Below are 23,874 nucleotides of genomic sequence, written 5' to 3'. Positions count from 1 at the left end.
GGCTTCAAGGCCCAGCAGATGCGGGACGAGTTCCAGCTGTGCCACTTAGTAGCCATGCAATGGGGAAAATCACTTCACCCTCTGAGCCACGGTCTCCCCAACTGTAAAATGGGGAGAAAGACACCATCCAAAGAAGGTGGTGAGACCATCAGAGATGAAGAGATGGCACCTACACAGTGCCCGGAATGCGCCAGACAAGTGGCAGGTCCTGTGACCACTGGCACGTCTTCCTCCTGTCCCCTCGGGTGCTCGGTGTTGGGGGCTGGGGTGGTGTTCGTTTTTTATGAGTAACAGCAGGCATCTCATGCACACTGGCTCATGAATCCGCACAATGGCCTACGAGGTAAGTACCCTCGCTGTCCCTACTTACAGAAACTTCAATTGGGGTGAAGAATCTATGCCTCTCCTTTCCTGGGCCTTTCAACTCCAGGGTCTCCAGGTCCCTTCCAGGGCCCAGGGCCCCGTATTCATCTCCCATCTGCCCCTGGGCTGCAGGGGACCTCCCAAAACAGGCTGACTCACCAATCTTGTTATTGGTGTGCTCCGTGGACACCCGGGGCTCAGGAAGGTCCCTGGGGGACGAGGGGCCCCCGGCCGGGCTGGCATCCTGCAGCGGCAGGCTCTCCAGGTAGGCTGCCCCCACGCTGTGGCAGGTCTCCATCAGTGGCTGGCTCATTAACCCTCGCTCTTCCGCGACGGGTTCTGTCACCGACGCACCACTCCTCAGCTGCTGTGGGACGGGAATGGGTGCTGCTGCAGGGTACCCCCAACCTCCCCACCAGTCTCTGAACTGGGAGGCCCCTTTTTTTTTTCATCTCTACAGACCCCAGTGAGTCCCCCTTTCTGCTTTAAAAGCTGCCATGAGCTGCCCCGGGCTTCTCAGCTTTCTGGGTGAAGTCTGTTGCTTTTAATTTGTACTAAATAGTAGGGGTAACAGTCAGCGACTCACAGGGTGCTCGCCACGTCCGTTGGCCCTGTCCTAAAGTCCTTGACATATGTTAATCCTCACAACCACTGTATGAGGTGGGTAACAGCCCACTCCCCATTTTACAGATGAGGAAACTGAGGCACAGAGGAGTCGAGTAATTGGCCCAGGGTTATACCATCAATAAGTATCTGAGCTAGGATTTGAACCCTGGCATCTGGTCCATAACCCACACTCATAAGCACCCAAGTCTGTAAGTACCAGCTCCAGGTCCCCCACCTCCTGGAGCAGCCCCTCCAGCTCCCCAGCCCCGACATCCTGGAAAGTAGTCTTTTATGATCACACTCAAGCATTCTAAAAACAGACTACTGTTAGTTCAAGTGACAAGCCCGGTGACCTCTATACTATATAATCTAAATTCATGTATATTATTAATAAATATTTTCTAAATGCTAAAAAAAAAACAAAAAAAAAACAAAAAAAAACAAAAAAACAGCTATGTCATGAGGAAAGTGTCAGTTTAGTTTTTGATTTTTACAGGTAAGGGCAAAGAAGTGGCCTCATGAAATGTCCTGATGCCTTCAAAATGGAGTGAGTGTGAGTAATTCAGAGGAGGCAGGGATGCCCGTGCTGACGCAATGATTCTCAAGGCACAGAGGGCGTATCTTTTAGATTGGTGCAAAAGTAATCACGTCTTTGCCATTATTATTATTATTATTTTTTACTTTTTAAATGGTTTTATTTTATGTACAAATAATGAACATATGTTATACCCATAAATTCTACTTTCCCAAAACAGGAGCTTTTTAAAACAAAACCACATAATAACTTTTAAAAGGCGCTGAGATTCCTCAGCTTCCAGATCACTGCTGAGCTAGAAAAATAAAGTTTGTTCTACCAGGAACCACAGCTTAGAACTGAGTATTCTTCACTCGCTAAGAGTCATCACCACTCCCTAATCTCAAGTACCCAGGGACACAAACACTGCGGAAGGCGGCAGGGCCCTCTGCCTAGGAAAACCAGAGACCTTTGTTCACATGTTTATCTGCTGACCTTCCCTCCACTATTGTCCTATGACCCTGCCAAATCCCCCTCTCTGAGAAACACCCAAGAATGATCAATAAATACTAAAAAAATTAAAAAAAAAAAAAAAAAAAAAAAAAGAACTGAGTATTTTTCAAAGTGGAAATTCTAGAGTGTGGTGTCACTCCAGACAAAGATTATTCTGTTCTCAACCCCAACATCCACAACTACCTATCAGAAGGGTTAAACCAGGTTTGCCATTACTTTTAATGGCAAATGGCACCAACCTTAATACATACTCTTGAATACTCTTTCATAATAATATGAAGGCTAAAAGACTGCCTTTTTTTTTTTTTTTTTTCAGATGGAGTCTCACTCTGTTACCCGGGCTGGGAGAGCAGTGGTGCAATCTCGGCTCCCTGCAACCTCTGTCCCCCAGGCTCAAGCGATTCTCCTGCCTCAGCCTCCTGAGTAGCTGGGACTACAGGCGTGTGCCACTACACCTGGATACTTTTTGTAGTTTTAGTAGAGACGGGGTTTCACTATGTTGGCAAGGCTGGTCTCGAACTCCTGACCTCAGGTGATCCGCCTGCCTCAGCCTCCCAAAATGCTGGGATTTTAAGTGTGAGCCATCATATCCGGCCAAAAGACTGCATTTTAAAACAAGTTACTATTAATGCATTGGCCTATGCAGCAAAAACATATTTGATTACCTTACAAATTGTTGAATACCTCTTTCATGAAATTTCTCAGTATTGTAACAGCCACTTGTCACATCCAAGCATATTCGAATGTGATCCCCCATAATTTGAAACTGAACTAGCATTATGGTTGTGTATATTATATTGAAAAATGAAAGGATAGAAACCCTTCTTAATGTATGAATGCTTGAATTAAAAGAAAGTAATGGAAGAACTGACAGATGGGGAAAAAAAAAAAAAGGAATGGACCATAGCCACCTGCTCTGTCATCCAGCTTGGAGGATGAGATTCATGGAAGAGTAAAGAAAAGGGGAAAATGAACACAGTCTTCCTCCTGACCAGACCTGGTACCCAAAAGTGGCCCAAACCAAATCCACTGTGTGCAGGCCCTTCTGGAAATTCCCGGCAGGCTGAGCCAGGAGCTGGAGGCTGCTATGAGGGTGGGGCTCTCCATCCTTAGCCAAGGCCTGGCTGAGGCCCCAGGCGAGGCCTCTGTGCACAGAGGTCCCTGTGGTGGGTCAGACTCAGCCTGAACTTGCAGGACGGGCCTGCACCCTGGGCACTGTGGGAGGGGAATGGCCAGTCCGTCCCCTCCCTCTCCCTTCCCCCAGCAGCTCTCAAAACTTCAGATCTGTTAGGGAAGGAGTCAGATTTAGGGGCACGAAGCTGAGGTGGGGGCAAGGGAGGGGTACTTACCGTTGAGCTCCTCCTGGGTCTGGAATCTGCAAAAAGCAAGAGCAGCAACTTCACCAAGGAGTCTGGCAGCCCCCGGCCCCACCCGCCCCAACTATTGGCAAATGGTCCTCCTGGATCACAGGTGGTGCTGAACTCAGCCCAGGGGTCAGGTCCTCAGTCTGGAGAGCCCTCGATGGGTTTCAGAGTCAGTGCCCACCCCAGCTCAAGGCAAGGAGGCTCACTTCTCCAGTGGCAGATGGAGGACAGGGGACCACCTCTATCCCCTGGCCACTCTCATTCCTTTTTTTTTTTTTTTTTTGAGATGGAGTCTCACTCTGTCACCCAGGCTAGAGTGCAGTGGCATGATCTCGGCTCAATGTAACCTCCGCCTCCTGGGTTCAAGTGATTCTCATGCCTCAGCCTCCCGAATAGCTGGGATTATAGGCTCGTGCCACCAACCCCAGCTAATTTTTTTGTATTTTCAGTAGAGACGGGGTTTCACCACGTTGGCCAGGCCGGTCTCAAACTCCTGACCTCCTGACCTGCCCGCCTTGGCCTTGCAAAGTGCTGGGATTACAGGCGTGAGCCACCACACCTGGCTGCCACTCTCATTCCTAATGACTAAACCAATGAACACACTGAACCACTCTCCCAACCCCCACCCCCGCGCACATGCAAGGATTGGTTCACGAGAAGCACAGGCCCAACCAGAGCCCAGGAGGCTTCCACTGGGTCAGAGGCTCGTCTGTGGCTGCTGCGCCCACCTTACTGTCTCCAGGGTGTGGAGAGCCCCGAATTCTCTGGAATACCAGGCAAAACCCACATGGAGGACCTCAAGGCAGGTCATGGAGACAGGATGATGGATCCTGCAGATGCCACCTGGACCCTGCCTGGGACACGCCCGAAGCCAGTCTGCTGTGGAGCCCTTCTGACTCCAGCTGGACTTCGATTTTCTCTTTCTTGTGCCTGAAAGCACCCAGGTGGCAGCCTTCGAGGAGGACAACTGCTCTCGGGCCATCTCATTTCCTTCAATCCCATCCTTTTGTAGGCTCAGGAGGTGCTGATACAATGATTCTCAACGCACAACCTCTATCTTCTCATCTCAAACCTCTACCCTCCACTCCCATTGTTCTCCCATATTAAACAGGGGCCAGGTCACGCCCAAGCACATATTGACATTTAACATTTAACCTTGGCTCACTGGCCATCTGAGAAAGGTGAGAGGGCATCCGGGCATCTAACTCATCCTGGAGCAAGTCAGTTCCCAGAGCAGACCATCCTCCAGGGATGCCCAGCTTTTAACCACTCCTGAGAACGCTACCTACGGAGATCTGGAATATGCTGTTGTCAGGCACACATCCCTGGCTAGACAAATCTGCCACCAAGATGCCCGTATGTCAGCCACGCCGCCTCCTGCACACATCTCTGACTTCAGCAGCTCTGGAGAGCCACCAGCCCTGAGTCCTCACAGATATGCTCACCAGTGCTCAGTCAACAAGTAGGATAAAGTATACGCAAGACTGACCATTTGAACACGCTGTGTGGACACTAGGTGAGTTTGGGAAACACTCTTAGGGGTAATTTTTTCTTTTTTTGAGACAGAGTCTCACTCTGTCACCCAGGCTGGAGTGCAGTGGCACGATCTTGGCTCACTGCAACCTCTGCCTCACAGGTTTAAGCAATTCTCACAAGTAGCTGGGATTACCGACATGTGCCACCACGCCCGGCTAATTTTTGTATTTTTAGTAGAAACAAGGTTTCACCATGTTGGCCAGGTTGGTCTCCAACTCCTGACCTCAGGTGATCTGCCCGCCTCGGCCTCTCGAAGTGCTGGGATTACAGGCATGAGCCACCTTGCCCGGCCAGGGGTAATTTTTTTTTTTTTTTTTTTTTTTTGAGATGGAGTCTAACTCTGTCGCCAGGGTGAAGTGCAGCAGCGCGATCTCGGCTCACTGCAACCTCCGCCTCCTGGGTTCAAGCGATTCTCCTGCCTCAGCCTCCCGAGTAGCTGGGATTACAGGCACGCACCACCATGCTCAGCTAATTTTTGTATTTTTAGTAGAGACGGGGTTTCACCATGTTGGCCAGGCTGGTCTCGATCTCTTGACCTCGTGATCCACCCGCCTCGGCCTCCCAAAGTGCTGGGATTACAGGCGTGAGCCACGGCACCCGGCCGAGGCACATTCTTTTCAATGACGTCAGTGAAACTAAATCATGGTCCCTCCAGAGTGATTTTGAGTTTTACAAGCAGCCAACTGTTCTTTGGTACCAAGTCACTGGGGGTGGCCAACAGAATAAAAAAAAAAAAGTGTGACAAAGTAACAAAACAAAATAAATAAAAATGACACAACTCGGCCTTGAAGGGGAAGTGGGTGAACGGGATCGCAGAGCTGCCCATACCCTGCAGGCTGGTTCCATTTTTCTAAAGAGCCATCTGGCAACAAAAACCTCACACTCTTTACCCAGTCATCCCTCTTGAGGGAACACACCCTCAGGAAATAACCCGAAAGAAAACAAAAAGGCCGAGCACAGCAGCGGGTTTATAATAACCCTCAAATTGAAAACCAGCCAAATGTCAAAAACAATGAGGCCGCTTAGCCACCCTGGAGCAGGGGCCTCCTTGGCGGTGAAACTCAGCACAATATTACTTCCCTTCTCCGAGCCTCTGTCCTCCCAGCTGGAAAATGGGATGAATCACATCAACTTTGGGGCTTGTTGAGAAGATTAAAAGAGATATCAAAAGTGAAGGTGCCCAGTGGTAAATCAGGTTGATTTTTTTTTTTTTTTTTTTTTTTTTGAGATGGAGTCTCGCTCTGTCACCGAGGCTGGAGTGTAGTGGCACGTTCTCAGCTCAATGCAACCTCTGCCTCTGGGGTTTAAGCGATCCTCCTGCCTCAGCCTCCCAAGTAGCTGGGACTACAGGTGCGTGTCATGACACCCGGCTAATTTTTGTATTTTCGGTAGAGACAGGGTTTCACCATGTTGGCCAGGCTGGTCTCAAACTCCTGACCTCAGGTGATCTGCCAGGCTTGGCCTCCCAAAGTGCTGGGATTACAGGCATGAGCTACTGCGCCCAGCCAAGATTTGATGTGATGAGCATGACGTTTCACCTCTGTGGTCTTCTTCCCCCAATGCATAACTCCAGTCTAATCATGGGGAAGACATCAGACAGATCCCAGGAGACAGGCGTCCCGCAAAACACCTGATCAATACTCAAAAACTGCCAAGGCCATCAGGGAAACTGGTCTTGAGAAACAAGATCTGAGAAACGGCCACAGGCCAGAGTAGCCTAAGGCGACATGATGACTGAATGTGACGTGGCTCCTGGATGGGATCCTGGAACCTTAGGCAATGCAAGGGAACCCTGAACACAGTGTGGGCTTTCGTTTGTAATCCTGTGTCAATAATGGTTCACATATTTTGACAAATGAACGATGCTGGCTTAAGATGCTAATCACAGAGGAAACTGGGTGTGGGGCATGTGGGAACTCCTGTGCTGTCTTCTCCAATTTTCTGTACATCTAAAACTATTTTTAAAAATGAGACTGGGCGTGGTGGCTCATGCCTGTAATCCCAGTATTTTGGGAGGCTGAGGTGGGCAAATCACGATGCCAGGAGTTCCAGACCAGCCTGGCCAACCTGGTGAAACCCCATCTCTACTAAAAATACAAAAATTAGCTGGGCATGGTGGCGCGCGCCTATAATCCCAGCTACTCGGGAGGCTGAGGCAGGAGAATTGCTGGAACCCGGGAAGCAGAGGTTGCAGTGAGCTGAGATTGCGCCATTGCACTCCAACCTGGGCAACAGAGCGAGACTCTGCCTCAAAAAAAAAATGAGGACTAGCTGGGCACAGTGGCTCTCGCCTATAATCCAAGCACTTTGGGAGGCCGAGGTGGGCAGATCACTTGAGCTCAGGAGTTAGAGACCAGCCTGCACAACAAAGGGAGACCTGGTCTCTACAAAAAATAGAAAAGTTAGCTGGGCGTGGTGGTGTGTATCTGTAGTCCCAGCTACTGGGGAGGCTGAGGGATCACTTGAACCCAGGAGGTCAAGGCTGCAGTGAGCCATGATTGTACCATGGCACTCCAGAGTGACACCCTGTCTCCAAAACAAAAAACAAAAAACAAAAAACTTAAAAATGAAGGCCACTTAGAATGTTTTTTTGTTTGTTTGTTTGTTTGTTTTGAGACGGAGGCTCGCTCTGTTGCTCAGCCTGGAGTGCAGTGGTGCAATCTCAGCTCACTGCAACCTCCACCTCCCAGGTTCAAGAAATTCTCCTGCCTCAGCCTCCCGAGTAGCTGGGATTACAGGTGTGTGCCACCATGCCTGGCTAATTTTTTTATTTTTAGTAGAGATGGGGTTTTGTCTTGTTGGCCAGGCTGGTCTTGAACTCTCGACCTCAGGTGATCCACCCACCTTGGCCTCCCAAAGTGCTGGGATTACAGGTGTGAGCCACTACACCTGGCCTACTTAGAATTTTTAAAAATTAAACTATTTTAAAAAGAAGGTGTCCAGGATGCTGTTGAGCACACAGCAGGTTCAGGAAAAGCCCAGGATGGTAAGTAACATGGCTCTGCACTCCGTCACACTGAATGGAAAGTCAGAGTTCAATACCGACTCTCCCAAACAAGTGTAAAATCACAGAGGTAAAAAGGCGGAATCTGGAAGGCTCTGACATTGACAAGAGCCGTGTTACAACCCATGAGGATTTTGATAAAGACCCAGAACAAATCTTGCCAAGTACAGAGGTCAGATTTCATAACTGCTCTTCCCCTAAAAATGTTGATTCTATCTGCTAGTCTTATTTGTTGGTTTCCTTGCCTTTTGGAATAACCACTGTCTTCTTGTAAGCCTGTCTGGTACCCCCAGGGACACAAGTCCAGGACCATGCTGGGCAGCAGCAGGCCCCCTTGCACAAGTGCACGGTGTCACAGGCTGCTCTGAAGCCCACGCTCACGGAGCACGTGCGTTCTCACATGCGATGTAAAGCTCTCGGTCCCTTCCATCCCTGTTATTCTCCACTTTTAGTCCCCTCCCCTCTCTGGCCTGTGATTCCCCAGTGCTGTGGGAAGCAGAACAGGCCCAAGGGGGGAATTTGGCACAGAGGTTCAGCTAGGCTTTGGCAACAGGTACCCCGAGATGCAAACCCCGGGCTCCTTGGAGAGGCAGCTGATTCCAGGGCCGGGGCAGGAGCACACAAGTTAAGCTGGGAACATCTCAGAATAAGGGACGTGCTCAAAGCACAGGATGAGGATACACCAAAGCACACAAGAGCCAGCTTAAAGGGGCTCTCCCTGACCTCATCTGGGACCATTTGAGCACCAAAATAAAAAATGATGGTAAGAGATTACAACCCATTGAACAGAACAGGGCCCCATGAATCCATACAGATATAAATATGTAAGTGAAGAAAATTAAGTTCTGGGCTGGGCGCGGTGGCAGCTCACGCCTGTCATCCCTGAACTTTGGGAGGCCGAGGCGGGAGGACCACTTGAGGCCAGGAGTTCGAGACCAGCCTGGCCAACATGGTGAAACTCTGTCTCTACTGAAAATACAAAAAATGAGCCAGGCATTGTGTGGCACACGCCTGTAATCCCAGCCACTTGGGAGGCTGAAGCAGGAGAATTGCTTGAACCCAGGAGGCGGGGGTTGCAGTAAGCCGAGATCACACTACTGCACTCCAGCCTGGGTGACAGAGCCAGACCCTGTCTCAAAAAAATAAACAAATAAATAGAGAAAATGAAGGTCTGCTGAAGAATGGGCTATTGACATAGTCTCAAGTAACGCCCCTAAAGACTTAGTAATGACCGAGGAGCAAATGGAGACGTCACAGTGGAGAGGCCCGGCAGGACATCACCTCCGTCGAGCGCTCAAAGTACACAGCACCAGGAAAGGGAGACATCGAAACCTGGCAGGACGCCCTGAGAGAGAAGAGGCCAGCATCATTCCTGGGACCTTCCAGCCCAAGATGCATGACCTGAATCCACTCGGGAGAAAACACCAGACAAACCCAAAGCAAGGAGCATCCATGAAATCACCAGCCTGCGCTCTTCCCAGTAAGTGAAAGAAACGCCTGGGGAACGGATCCGGACAGAAGGAGACTCGAGAAACCAGACAAGCAAATGTAACACGTGGCCCTGAGCTGGAGTCCTCTGCTATAAAGGACATTATTGGGACAAATAAAGAAACTTCAACAGGGCCTGAGAATTCATTGTGGGTCATGTATCAGTGTGAATTCCAATTCTGACGATCCTTACCACATCGTGTAAAATACACCCTTGTCTGTCTGAAACACACACTGAAGTTTTCGGGGTGAGAGACATCCAGTCAGTCAGTTACTCTCAAATGGTTCAGGTCAAAATGAATTCTTCATACTTATACCATTTCTATAAGTTTGAAACTGTTTCAAAACAAAAAAAGAATTTCTTTCAACCTAAATCTCCCTGGAATAATAGAAAATGACTCAAGTGCTCATAAAAATGAAGGATTAAAAGAATTTTAAGGCCAGGCATGGTGGCTCATGCCTGCAAACCCAGCACTTTGGGAGGCCGAGGCAGGCGGATCATGAGGTCAGGAGTTTGAGACCAGCCTGGCCAACACGGTGAAACCCCGTCTCTACTAAAAATACCAAAATTAGCCAGGCATGGTGGCAGGAGCCTGTAATCCCAGCTACTCAGGAGGCTGAGGCAGGAGAATCACTTGAACCCGTGAGGCGGAGGTTGCAGTGAACCCAGATGGCACCAGTGCACTCCAGCCTGGGTGACAGAGCGAGACTCTGTCTCAAAAAAAAAAAAAAAAAAAGAATTTTAGACCAGTGGTTCTCAACCAGGAGGTTTTCCCCAGGGGCCACATGGCAATGTCTAGAGACATTTTTGGTTGTCCCAAGTAGGGAAGGTTACTGGCATCTAGAGGGGCTGTACAACGTCCTATAGGATAGCGCTCCACAGCAAAGAACCATCCATTCCCAAATGTCAATGGTGCCAAGGGTGAAAAATCTTTTTACAAACATCTCAACAACCACGATAAAATCCCCGTCCTACGGCTCACCCAGCACGTGGCCTTAAACGAATTACTTCACCATCCTGTGCCTTAGGCTGCTAATCTGTGCAACGGGGATAACAGTAAGTACCTCACAGGCCACCGGAGGAGTGGATGAGATCACGTGTGTGCTTTGCAAATGCCTGTCACCGAGGACACACACGGGAAGGTCGATCCACTCGAGGGCTGGTTGGTGGGCCTCTCATCGCACCTGCACGGACCACAGATCCCTGATGTGCTCACTGCTCAAAGGAACCAAGAGCACCCTCTGCCCCAGGTCTGGGATGTGGGAGGCCAAGGGGCGCACACTCCCCTCCCGTCTGCCTTTGGCCTCTGCGGGCAGTCGGAATTAGTCTAAAAGCTTGGAGGGAGCTAGAACAGCTTCTGGGCCCGGCACAGAGCCTGCAAGGAGGAAGTGCTCCGTGAAGACCATGTGAATAGATGAATGAACGAACCAATAAACCAGTGCCAATAAACCAGTGCTCCTTCCCTCCTTCACCACCCACGGCTCAGGAGGGAAAGGGGCATCCGGCCAGCTCGGTCCATTCTCACCCGGTGCTCTGTGAGCTTGCCTGTCTTGGCTTCACTTTCTGTCCATCTTGAGCCTCGGAACCCAGACCCCAAGGTCCCACCAGAAGCTAGAGGGTCAAAAACGACCTGAGATAAGATGTCCACCATTGAGTCTCAGGGCTCAGTTCTTTGTAGACCTGGCTTCTTAGGGGAAGGTGTTTTCTTTCTTTCTTTCTTTTTTTCTTCTGTAACAAAACTGCTCTCACAGAGGTTTGAAGAAAAAAAATAAACTGACGGCAATGGAAATTCTAATACTAGAAAAATGTCAAGAAAGCAAACGCCGGTTTCAATGAGACACTCAGCCTGACAGGTCATGGAAACAGGCTTGAAACTATCAAAACACAAAAACCCCCCTTGCACAGGGACCACAGTGCTTGCTTGTGAAACTCGTCAAATTCAAAACATGCCTCAGTGGACTGTGTTTTTGTGCCCAAGTCAACAGTCAGCCTATGCAAGGGCCTCTGCAAGGGTCCTGGGGAGATCAGGGGACGGGCCAGGGCCTGGCCTTAGGCTGAGCACGTGGCTCTTGGGTAGGCATTGCGATGGTGGACAGAGCTGGCAGGGGGAAGGAAGAGGGGACAGGGCTGAGCCCTTTACAAACCAAAACCCCTAGGACCAGTGCCTGAGGCTGGCTGTGCCACTGCCAGGCTGTGTGGCCCTGGGCCAGCCGTCCACCTTGCTGAGCCCTGCCTCCTCCTTGCAGAACAAAGGTCATCACTGGGGGAGTACAGGAAGCCTGTATGGGAGCCCACCTTGCAAATCAGAAACGAAGGCTCAGACGATTCCCCCATCAGAGCCCAGCACAGAGCAGGCACCCAATCCATGCCATGCAGTGCTGAGGAAGACCCTGGCCTGCCTTGAAGGGGCTGCCCAGGAGAGAGAAGGTGCTTGGCACAAGATAGCTGGGAGCCCCCTGCCCCAGGTGAGAGCTAGAAGACACACGCTGTATAGACGACCCTGCCTGGACAGGTGAGGAGGGTTCCAGCTCCCAAGGGCTGCCTGGAAGAGCTGGCCCAGAGGCTGGGCAGGGATCAGAGTGCAGGGACCAGGGAGGGGGTCAGAAGCACCCAGGACTCAGGAAGGCCTGAAGCTTCCAGGAAGGAAAAAGCCCCAGGCACAGGCCAGCCTGTCAATAGGCAGCAGCCACCGATTGCAGGCAGGTACTCCACGATGCGCTTAACAGCCCGACCTCGACGAATCCACAGGCCAAGCCTCTGAAGTAGATTCTACCATCTGCATTTTCCGGATGAGGAAACTGAGACACAGGACAATTCAGTAACTCACCCAGGGTCACACAGCTTGTAAGTGGCAGAACCAGGGTCCCTCTTGCCCCATGTGCTCCTTTCCCCTCCTGCCCCTGGGCTGACTTGCCAGGTGGTAGAAGAGGGGGAGAGAGGGGAAAGAGAAAGAGAAGGAGGGAGAGGGAGAAAGGGAGGGTAGAATGTAGAGAGGAAGGCAAGGCTGGCAGGAATGCCCCCTGGGGGTACTGGAGGAAAAAGTGACAGACAAGATAGACTTTTAAACGTTCATGCCAGCATCCATCCAGGTGCTGCTCTGGGCAAGCCACACAGTCGTCACACCCAGTACAGTCTTCACCTCATTGCATTCTCCACACGCATGAGTTTTCACCCACATTGCATCCCTACAGATGTACAGAATGCGACAGGAGCCACAGACAGGGAGCTTCGAGGCTGGGGTAGAAGTTCAGTCTCTGGAGCCCACGCCCCGGGCCCAGAGCTGCCCTGTGTTCCTCTGGCTCGGGCAGCCCCTTTGGACGGCTGGACACTCACCCACAAGCTCTAGCTTGGGCTGGGAGGTCTGGACCGGGTAGCACAGGTGGAGCTCTGAAACGACACCAGGAGGAAGGCTGGGGGTGGCGGCCTCAGAGAGCAGGAGCAGGCAGGGAAAGAACCCAGGCCAGGCTGGCAGAGAGCAACCTGTCCTCCCCAAGGCCCCAAGGACACAGCCACTTACTCTGCCGAATTCGCTTCCTGCAGGCCCTCCGGTGGCACAGGAGGAAGGCGCTGGAGCCGACCACCACAACCAACACCAGGATCACCCAGAAGAGCACTGGCCCTGGAACACAGAGACGCCCCACACTCTTTGCCTTGCTGCAACCACACAAGACAGCCCCAGCCCCAGACGACTTCCTCCTTCTCCTGGGACACAGCTTCCATCATGGCTAACAACAACAGGTCCTTTCCAAGCCAAGGCTCTTATCTCATCCAGCCCTCCCTCGCCTGGCTCCAGGAAGCTGATCAACTATTGAAGGCTGAGAGAAGGGCAAACTGTGTCTAGAGAGTGAGAAATTGAGGCGTCTAGGAGCCAGAACAAAGGAATTGAGGTCCAATAGACCAAAATTTGGGGACTGTGGACGAGGGCCCGGTGTGACCGGCATCTGGCAGCACTGCTGGTGTGGCCGGAGTCAGGGTGGGGAGGGCCAAGCAGTGAGGGGAAGGAAGAGGTTGAACCCAGTCCCCTCCCGGCCAACCCTCTAGACCTGCTTGATGAGGGCAGGCATGGAGTCCCCACTGCACATAAACACACCCCACAAGCGTTCCCTGAATGAATGATCCCCAACCCTATGCCCTAGGCACCGTCACTACCTTCAGTTTAAAAATGAGGGGAGCTGAGGCTCACGAAAGTTCGTTAAGTTGCCCAAGGTCACCCTGAGAGTAAGTGGCAGAGCCCCAGCCCAGGCCAGGCCAGGCCGGGGGGACTGCAGGGCCACGCTCTTAACCCCTATCTAGATCTACTTCTTCACACCTCGGTACTAAACTCGCTTCGTTTTTCCCTTTTGTCACTTACAGAGATCATAGAGCTAGTGATTGCACTTTATTGAAGTCCATGTTTAGATGTTTAAAAAGTAGTATATGCCAGTTAAGTGCTTCTCAAACGTTAATGTGCACATGAGTGCCCTGGAGATCTTGTTAAAGTGCAGTTTCTGATTCTCTAGGTCTGGGATGGGGCCCATAATTTGCTTTCCTAACAAGTTCCCAGCCGGTGCCAATGCTGCCAGACGGGACCGCACTTTCAGAAACTCTGGCCGGAGCACTACTGCCACCTCGTGTCAGCCACTAGAACTGCAAGTCCTAAAATGAGTAACCTGGCATCTTTCCCTAAGAGCTAACTCTTGGGGGTTTTGTTTGTTTTGTTTTGTTTTGTTTTGTTTTGTTTTGTTTTGTTTTGTTTTGTTTGAGACTGATTCTCATTCTGCTGCTCAGGCTGGAGTGCAGCGGTGCAATCTCGGCTCACTGCAACCTTGCAACCTCCGCCTCCCGGGTTCAAGCGATTCTCCTGCCTCAGCCTCCTGAGTAGCTGGGATTACAGGCGCGCGCCACCACGCCTGGCTAATTTTTGTATTTTTAGTAGAGATGTGGTTTCATCGTGTTGGCCAGGCTGGTCTCAAACTCCTGACCTCGTGATCCACCCACCTTGGCCTCCCAAAGTGCTGGGATTACAGGCGTGAGCCACCGCGTCCAGCCTAAGAGCTAACTCTGACAGAGGCCGTCTACAATGCTACACTGCTTATAACCCTGCACGGTCTCTGCCATTACCATTGTATAGATGAGACAACTGAGGCTCAAAGGCTCGAACAACTAGTCAAAGTCATGAAATCAATCAACAAAGACCTATTTTCTGAGTAGCAATTATAAGCCACGAGGATGAAGCTGTGAAAAAAATTCCTGCCTACAAGAATTAAAGAATAGTCACTAGCAGCCAGGCGCAGTGGTTCACACCTATAATCCTAGCACTTTGGGAGGCTGAAGCAGGTGGATCACCTGAGGTCAGGAGTTTGAGACCAACCTGGACAACATGGCAAAACCCCGTCTCTACTAAAAATTAAAAAAAAATTTAGCCAGGCGTGGTGGCAAGCGCCTGTAAACCCAGCTACTCGGGAGGCTGAGACAGGAGAATCTCTTGAACCTGGGAGGTGGAGGTTGCAGTGAGCCAAGATGGGTGCCACTGCCCTCCAGCCTGAGCAACAGAGTGAGACTGTTTCAAAAAGAAAAGAATAGTCACTAGCAAGTGCCAGAGCCACAGCACCAACTCAAGAAGCCAGAAACCTGGGGTCAACCTTAATCCCCCTTCTCAGACCATACCCACAAAGGAGAAGCTCCCTCCTGGCTCCCCCAATCCACACTTCCCCAGGAGGAAGCCCCTGCTGGGAGTAGGGGTGAGTGGGCTGGGACCATTACCTGCATCCAGAACGGGCTTCCCCGTGGAGGAGAGAGCGACGGGAGCGCTGGTTGGGATGGGCAGCGTCTTACTGGCCTGGGAGTCCACCAGCAAGCTCTGAGTGGGGCTGGTGCTGCGGGGAGAAGCCCAAGGCAGGAGTGATGAAGATGGGAAGAGGGAAGTGGGTCTTCAGGAATAATTCCCTTTCTCTGGAGACTGCGCAACCAGAGCCTGGGCCCCTAGATCCTCTGCCCCGAGTCTCTGCCAGGCATTTTGAGGGCAGGGACTGGGTTTCAAGGCCTTCTGGCTTTCCAATGGTGTCAGCAAAGAGATGGGCACACATTTAACAAAAGAGCAGCCCAGGCCCCACCTCCACCCCCAGCCCAGCTGCCTCCCAGGCATCCCCTGGGCATGGCAGGGACAGCTCCCTCCTGCAGCAGCCAAACAGAGAGAAGGGGTGGGGGAGTCACCTGGCAGGCGCCTCGCCATTCTCTGGGGTGGGGTTGCAGTCCGGCTGGGTCCCCAGGGGTGGCGCCTCAAAGGTGGTGTCCTTCTCAGCCATATCTGCAGAGGGGACGTAACATCTGAGAACCAGCGCCAAGGAGGCTGGTGTCTCCAGGAAAGAGTTAACCAGCAGGGACTGGTGGCTTCCAGCGAGGCAACACCGTGGGAGCTAAGACAGTCAGATTTGTGTTTCAAAAGATCAAAGTGGAAAAGCTGGCCAGGCACATTGGCTCACACCTGTAATCACAGCATTTTGGGAGGCTGAGGCAGGAGGACCACTTGAGGTCAGGAGTTCGAGACCAGCCTGACCAACACGGTGAAACCCCATCTCTACTAAAAACACAAAAATTAGCCAGGTGTGATGGCACACACCTGTAATCCTAGCTACTCAGGAGGCTGAGGCAGGAGAATCGTTTGAACCCGGGAGGTGGAGGCTGCAGTGAGCTGAGATCATGCCACTGCACTCCAGCCTGGGCGACAGAGAAAGACTCAAAATAAATAAAACAAAGTGGAGAAGTTGCTACTTGTCTCTAACAGCTGTGGTCACCCAGGAAGGTGAAACAGTGACGCTAGACCTTTTGCTTTTAAGAGAAAACTGAAATCGCCTAATGTTTAAATACAGCCTCAATTTTTAAAGTTTTTTTCTTTTAAATCAACTTTATTAAGGAATTATTTATTTATTTATGTTTAATTTTTTGAGATTGAGTCTTCCTCTGCTGCCCAGACTGGAGTGCAGTGGCACGATCTCAGCTCATTGCAACTTCTGCCTCCCGGATTCAAGTGATTCTCCTGCCTCAGCCTCCTGAGTAGCTGGGATTACAGGTGCCTGCCAACATGCCCAGCTAATTTTTGTATTTTTAGTAGAAACAGGGTTTCACCATGTTGACCAGGCTGGTCTCGAACTCCTGACCTCAAGTGATCCGCCCACCTCAGCCTCCCAAAGTGCTGGGATCGTAGGCGTGAGCCACCATGCCCAGCCTAAGGCAACATTTATATACAAGAAAGTATCCCCTGGCAGGGTAGGGTGGCTCCCGCCTGTAATCCCAGCACTTTGGGAGGCTGAAGCAGGCAGATCACTTGAGCTCAGGAGTTCGAAACCAGCCTAAGCAACATAGCAAGACCCTGTCTCTATTTTTAATAAGTAAAAATAAAAAAAGAAAATGTCCCTAAGTGTGTACAGCCTGATGAGTTCTGACAAAGGTAACTAACTCCAATCAAAATACAGAACATTCTCATCCCTCCAGAAGGTTCCCTAGTGCCCCTCCTCACTCACTCTGCCCCCACCTCCAGATCCAGGCAACCACCGATCTGCTTTATGTCACTATAGAGGAGTGTATCTGTTCCAGAATTTCATGTCGACAGAATCATGCAGTATGTACTCTTTGGGGTCTGGCTTCTTCCACTCTGCATAATGTTTTTGATATTCATTCAGCTTCATTCCTTTCTGTTGCCAAATGGCGTTCTGTTGTACAGATGAACCACTGTTTACATACCCGTTCGCTAGTTGATGGACATTTGGGTTGTTTCCAGTTTGAACTATGACGAACAAGGCAGCTGTGAGTATTCTTGTGCGTGCCTCTGTGTGAACGTATAATTTCATTCCTCTTGAGTGCCTAGGAAGGGTGGCTGGATTGCTATGCTGGCCAGACGGAATGTCTCTGAAGGCCAGTTCATAGCTGGCCACCACTGGTCTGACCCAGCTACCTTGTTTTACAGATGGAGAGAGCCGCAGGGCTGGAGCTACAGCCAGGAAACAGAGATGGCGAGTTCCAGCCCAGAGCACTCTCCTCTGGATGGCACTGCCTCCTGCCTGGGGACTGGGCACCTTCTTCAAAGCTTCCTGCTTTTCTGGGGCAGGATAATTTGGCCCACATTAGAAGTGGGTTATGCTCAGTCACTACACCTCTCCACCCCCAGAGCCCTGGTGGAGGCACCCCTTTTTGATGTGGTACAAAGCAACCCCACACACATACCCACATCTCCCCTCTACAAAGTGTTCGTGACGCCTCTCAGATTTTTCCTCAAATAGACAAAAAAGTAAAGCCAGGATTAATTTATTTCTTGCATTGTAGGGTTCTGAGGAACCCCCCTCTTTGGGGAAGGTCACTGGACTCTTACCTGAATTAGCTGGAGCCTGGAGACTATGGGGAAGATGATGCGATGTGTTATGATGGTTCCTACATGCTCGTTAATCAGTATTTGAATCAGTGTTTGAAAGGTCATTGGGTTTCAGTGAACACTTACTTTGAGTGGACTGGAGCTCTGATGCTCAAACCCATTAACTGTGGCTATTCCCAGTCAGCATCATGAGGAGAGAGCCCCCTGCCTGCTCTCCAAGGCAGCCTGATGTAACTAGACAGGCCCATGGTCTCAGCTGCTGCTGAAACACCTGCTGAAATCCAGCGACAGATCTGCTGTCCCTCCTGTATGTGCAGAAGGGGGGAACCTAGTATCCCTTGGGTGCCTCTCATCCCCTCTCTGAATATACTATACCTAACTTGTAACTTTCCTTCTTCCTCCCTGAGTCAGTGATCCTCCCCTTTTCCTCCTCTTTGGATTTGAAGGTGAGGAGAAGGCATTGTCTAGCCCCTAGTTGGTCTGCCTGTGTTCTCTGGTAATGGCCTACTGGAAGAGAAGAAAAGAACCTGCCTACTCAGCCTCCATTTAAGAACTAAAAAAAATATTATTTACCAGATGGATATACTTCTCTTTAAATCCAAACACCCAGTCCTTGGGCCATTTAAAGAATTGTCTCAGCATCAAGGCCAAACAGATTCTCTTTTTGTACATCCAGCAATCGCTTAAAATCAGGTGAAATTTCATCTTCATATTTGGACTGTATATTTCTTGTCATCTTTTTCTTTTCCCGGGAGTTTTCAATTGCCTTTCTTTTTCTTGTTGATAAAAGGACAGTGTGCCCTCACCATATCCTCAGGCTTTTCAACTCTACTAATCATGAAATTTACTACAATTCTCTCTTCTATTCCTGGGAACACTTCCTCGGAGCCTTCCTTCCATTTTCCTGCTCTGATCTGGCTCAACTGGTCTATACCACATCATTCTGGGACTTCCCTTCCTTGCTCTGCTAGGATGGAGTGCTGGTCTCTAGATTCCATGGCTTCCTGTTGTTTTTCTTTTTTGCCCCCTCACTTAGCTGAATTACATCTTCAAATATCTTCCTAGGAGAGGATATAGGAAGAAAAGCCTTCTGGACCTTTTATGTCTGAAAATGTTTTTATGCTGCCTTCAAACTTGATTGTAATTTAGCTGAAGTGACTGTAATTTAGCTGGGTAAATTCTAGGTTCAGAACTAAGAAGGAGGTGGGTGGGTGGTGTCTTCCAGTGGAAGTACTCTGGGCTGACCCTTGGGATCCCTGCATTCTGGTTCTAGCTTCGGCCCTGTGCTTCTCTCTGGGTGTAAAACGAAGGGGTTGTATCAGACCAGAGGTATCCAGCTTTGACTAGTCCTCAAAAACATTCTGACTATGTGACCAGCACAATGACCTAGCCACTCCTCCTAGGTATTTACCCATGAAAAATGAAAATATACATCCACCCAAAGACTTGTACAAGAATCGGCCAGTCATGGTGGCTCATGCCAGTAATCTCAGCACTGTGGGAGGCTGAGGTGGGAGGATCGCCCGAGCCCAGGAGTTCAATGCTGCAGTGAGCCAAGATCATGCCACTGCACTCCAGCCTGGAACACAGAGTGAGACCCTGTCTCTAAAAATAATAAAAATAATAATAAAAGATATAAGATAAATTCATACATGTTAAAAAAAAAAAAAGAATATTCACAGCTGTTTTCATTCATAATAGCCCTAAACTGGAAACAACCCAAATGCCATCAACCGGCAGGTAGATAAAATCATGGTGGTGCATCTATTACATGTAGCGTGGGTAATTTCCATTAATCCTGCTTTGCTCTTGGTAGGTCCTTTTGACCTGAAGTCTATGCTTCTGGTCAGGTGCACAGAGAAATTGAGGCTGCCACTGTGGGGGAGACGCCTGGAGCACTTTGGGGTGCCAAAGACCTGTGGCTGGTGGGGGATGCACAGAGGGAATCAGGGAGTCAGGACACTTTTGCAGACATGAGGCCTGGCACGTGCCAATGTCTGCATTGGGAGAGCCACATCAAGGTGGTCACCAGGCCAGGCAGCAGGAGCAAGAAGAAACAAATGGCCGGGCGCAGTGGCTCACGCCGGTAATCCCAGCACTTTTGCGAGGCCGAGGCAGGCGGATCACCAGGTCAGGAGTTCGAGACCAGCCTGACCATCATGGTGAAACCCTGTCTCTACTAAAAATACAAAAATTAGCCAGGCGTGGTGGCGCGTGCCTGTAATCCCAGCTACTCAGGAGGCTGAGGCAGGAAAACTGCTTGAACCCGGGAGGTGGAGGTTGTGGTGGGCCAAGATCGCGTCACTGCACTCCAGCCTGGGCGACAGAGTGAGACTCTGTCTCAAAAAAAGAAAAGAAACAAACAAACAAACAAAAAAACAAATGCAACCAGAAGCCTCCTTCCTCCTGCGATGGCCCTCTAGCGCCCTCTGCTGGCAAGGCTTAACTGCATGCTCCCTACAGAGGAGAAAGGCGGAGCCATCGTTGATGGCAGGGCAGGGATGGAAAGGTGAATGGAGAACCTAGAGATGATGGGCTGATCACAAGCACACTTTCTAAAAAGCCTTTTCTTGCCCTCTGATCCCATATTGTTCCTTTTCATAGCATTCTGTGCCCACCTTATGGATGTAACGACTTCGTGAATTTTTCTGCAGACACGAATTTAATGTTGCTAAGTACTCTTCTATTCCTGGATTTATCAAAGCTTCATGTGTGGTAAGAATTTCTGGTTTCGTATCTTTTTATTCTCCTTTGTAGGGCTGGTTTTTCTTACAAATCTTTGCTCATTCATATTTATTTTAAAAGGGTTATGCTTGGCCGGGTGCGGTGGCTCACGCCTGTAATCCCAGCACTTTGGGAGGCTGAGGCAGGCAGATCACCTGGGGTCAGGAGTTCGAGACCAGCCTGACCAATGTGGTGAAACCCCGTCTCTACTAAAAATACAAAAATTAGCCGGGTGTGGTGGTGCACGCCTGTAATCCCAGCTACTTGGGAGGCTGAGGCACAAGAATAGCTCAAACCCAGGAGGCAGAGGTTGCCGTGAGCCGAGACCATACCACTGCACTCCAGCCTGGGCAACAGAGCGAGACTTTGTCTCAAAAAGAAAAGGGTGGGGGGGGAGGGTTATGCTGCATCCACCAATAGATAAATGTGGCATCTATACACAATGGAATACTACTCAGCCATCATAAGGAAAGAAATCAAGTCTTTCGCAGCAACATGGATGGAACTGAAGGCCATATTCTTAAGTGCAGACATTCAGACACAGAAAGACAAATACTGCCTGTTCTCACTTCTAAGTGGGAGTGAAATACTGTGTCCACACGGAGCTGGAGAGTGGAATAAAAGGCAACAGAGACTTAGAAGGGTGAGGGGGTGGGAGGTATAGGTAGGTGGACCATGAGAAATTATTTAAGGGGTACAATGTATGCTATTTGGGTGAGGGATACCCTAAACGTCCTGAGTTCACCACCCAATCTAAGCATGTAATAAAATTACACTTGTACCCCATACATTTATGCAAACAAAATAAAATCCTAAGGACTCTACTGAATATTCCAGTCACTGAGCGGGGACAGTTTCTTCTGCTGTGTTAGTATGTCCTGTTCACAATGGGTCTCTTCCCTGAGTAGGAAGTTGGCCAGGGAACCCTGGGCCCATGGGCGGAGAGTGTGAGCTGGCAGCCTCCATTTCAGGGTGATGGGGTGTGGCTAGCCTGTTGACAGGTGCACTTCCAAATACCCAAGTAAAGAGGGCTTTACAAACAGAGTGACAGCACCCCACTAGTGGCCCGAACTTTCCCCGGATATTCCTTCAATGTTCTGACTCAAGAAGACAATTGTTGGCCAGGCACGGTGGCTCACACCTGTAATCCCAGCACTTTGGGAGGTGGAGGCGGGCAGATCACTTGAGGTCAGGAGTTCCAGACCAGCCTGGCCAACATGGCAAAACCCCGTCTCTACTAAAAATATGAAAATTAGCTGGGTGTGGTGGCGGGCACCTGTAATCCCAGCTACTCGGGAGGCTGAGGCAGGAGAATTGCCTGAACCCGGGAGACGGAGGTTGCAGTGAGCTGAGATTACACCACTGCACATCGGCCTGGGCAAGACAGCGAGACTCCATCTCTAAAAAAAGAGGAAAAAAAAAGACAATACTGGGGATTAAAAACTCAGGCATCATCTGTGCAAACTGGTCAGTGGCCATGCCATGCCATTGTAATACATTTTGAAGTTGTGTTTGAAGATTTAGTAGTCCCAGGCCACTACACCTCACACCTCTCAACTTCCCTCCCGCTCTTCATCTGCCTGCCTCTTCCAAGCCCAGAGCCTCTCTGGGGGTCCTAGAAGCAAGTCACCCCTCACTTCTCTGGCAGCCCTCACAGAGTCACATTGGGTGACCTTCCCTCCACTTGGTTTTTTTTCTTTTTTAGGCAGAGTTTCGCCCTGTTGCCCAGGCTGGAGTTCAGTGGTGCAATCTCGGCTCACTGCAACCTATGCCTCCCGGGTTCAAGCGATTCTCCTGCCTCAACCTCCTGAGTAGCTGGGACTACGGTGCCCACCACCACACCCAGCTAATTTGTGTATTTTTAGTAGAGACGGGGTTTTGCCATGTTGGTCAGGCTGGTCTTGAACTCCTGACCTCAAGTGATCCACCTGCCTCAGCCTCCCAAAGTGCTGGGATCACAGGCGTGAGCCACCACGCCTGGCCATTCCCCTTGGTTTTGTCACCACTCTTCCATCTGTTTTAAACCACCTGGAGATTTGTTAAAATCTCTCAAAGCCCTTAAAAAACAAAAAACAACAACAACAAAAAACTGTCAGGGTTTTAGTTTCCTGCACACTGGTAAAGCCAACCGTCCTGTTAGAAATCTCTTCAGAAACTTGATATTCATCTCTCTAAGTCAATAAAACAGCCTTGCAAACAGGTCAAGATTTTACCAGCCCGGGGCTGGGCATGGTGGCTCAGGCCTGTAATCCCAGCACTTTGAGAGGCCAAGGTGGGTGGATCACCTGAGGTCGGGAGTTCGAGACCAGCCTGACCAACATGGAGAAACCGCATCTCTTCTAAAAATACAACATTAGCCGGCTGTGGTGGCGAATGCTTGTAACCCCAGCTACTCAGAAGGCTGAGGCAGGAGAATTGCTTGAACCCAGGAGGTGCAGGTTGCGGTGAGCCGAGATTGAGCCATTGTACTCCAGCCTGGGCAACATGAGCGAAACTCCATCTCAAAAATATAAAGATTTTACCAGCCCAATAATTTCAGGAAGAATTTTTTTTTAATCAACAGAATCTCTTGCCAAAATGCTAAAACTGGATTTTATCATTCCATTCACTGAGTCTGACTACTCAAAGGATAACCAGAACCCAAACCTGACCTAATGAACAGCCGAGGGTGTAGGTCATTTGCCTCCACCCCTGGCTGTTGGTGGGGAGAGGCACAACAGTGGGGGCACAGACTCCACCCTGTGGTCGAGGCCTGGGGTGGGAACTGCTTACCCTGGGGCTTGGTGACCGTCTCTGCTGCACAGATTGGGTAGGGGACACAGCGGGCACAGGAGTTGGTGGCTGATGTGGCACAGATCATGCCAGGTCGACATTCGCAGGTGCGGGAGGAGTTCCATGCACATGGCGTCTTCTCCACAAGGTCATCTAAGGGACACAGATGAGGATCACGGAGAAAGATCAGTATGGCAAGGGCAGGGGGTCCAGAGAGCCCCCAGGAAGACAGAGAAGCAGTTGTCCAAGGGTCATCCAACAAGAAAATAAATGCTCGTCTGACTATGCCGTTGAGCAGCTCTCCCAGCATGCTCAAAATAATTCTGCAGGGTGAAAGAAGGCAGGCAAAAAGCGAGGGTATTCTGTATGTCGCATTTACATGCAAGCTATTGCATGGTGACCATAAGCAGGGGATGGGAAATGGTGACAAGCAACCCGAGGTAACTTTTAGAGGGGGATGGCTGGTTGCTCAGCTGCATGCATTTGTTAAAACTTATCAGATTGCATCCTTTAATCTATGCACTTTACCATATGCCCACTATCTCTCCCTAAAGCTGTTAAAAGAAAGTCCTCCAGGGGACGGGGTGAGCGGGCATGGGTGCAGAGGAGCCAAGACTGGCCATGACTCCATAACCGTTTAAAGCT

At 50.2% G+C, this 23,874-nt stretch overlaps 1 protein-coding gene across 6 annotated transcripts in view; it reads right to left on the bottom strand.

The window, feature by feature from the left end:
- Nucleotides 1-23,874, bottom strand: part of TNFRSF8 (TNF receptor superfamily member 8) — an 80,905-nt gene that overhangs the window by 5,249 nt on the left and 51,782 nt on the right. For 2 of the 6 annotated variants that reach the window (NM_001243.5, XM_011542443.3), the window contains 7 exons: nt 23,230-23,382; nt 15,582-15,675; nt 15,132-15,244; nt 12,907-13,008; nt 12,723-12,776; nt 3,346-3,371; nt 523-730 (listed from right to left, as the gene is read on the bottom strand). In NM_001243.5, the coding sequence (NP_001234.3) occupies nt 523-730; nt 3,346-3,371; nt 12,723-12,776; nt 12,907-13,008; nt 15,132-15,244; nt 15,582-15,675; nt 23,230-23,382 (750 nt within the window). The remainder of the gene's footprint in view (nt 1-522; nt 731-3,345; nt 3,372-12,722; nt 12,777-12,906; nt 13,009-15,131; nt 15,245-15,581; nt 15,676-23,229; nt 23,383-23,874) is intronic. The other 4 variants (XM_011542441.4, NM_001281430.3, XM_047434793.1 and 1 more) reach the window with 3 other exon arrangements.

Source organism: Homo sapiens, chromosome 1 (genome assembly GCF_000001405.40).
Source record: "Homo sapiens chromosome 1, GRCh38.p14 Primary Assembly".
Classification (NCBI taxonomy): domain Eukaryota; kingdom Metazoa; phylum Chordata; class Mammalia; order Primates; family Hominidae; genus Homo; species Homo sapiens.
This window is presented reverse-complemented; position numbering and strand designations above follow the sequence as displayed.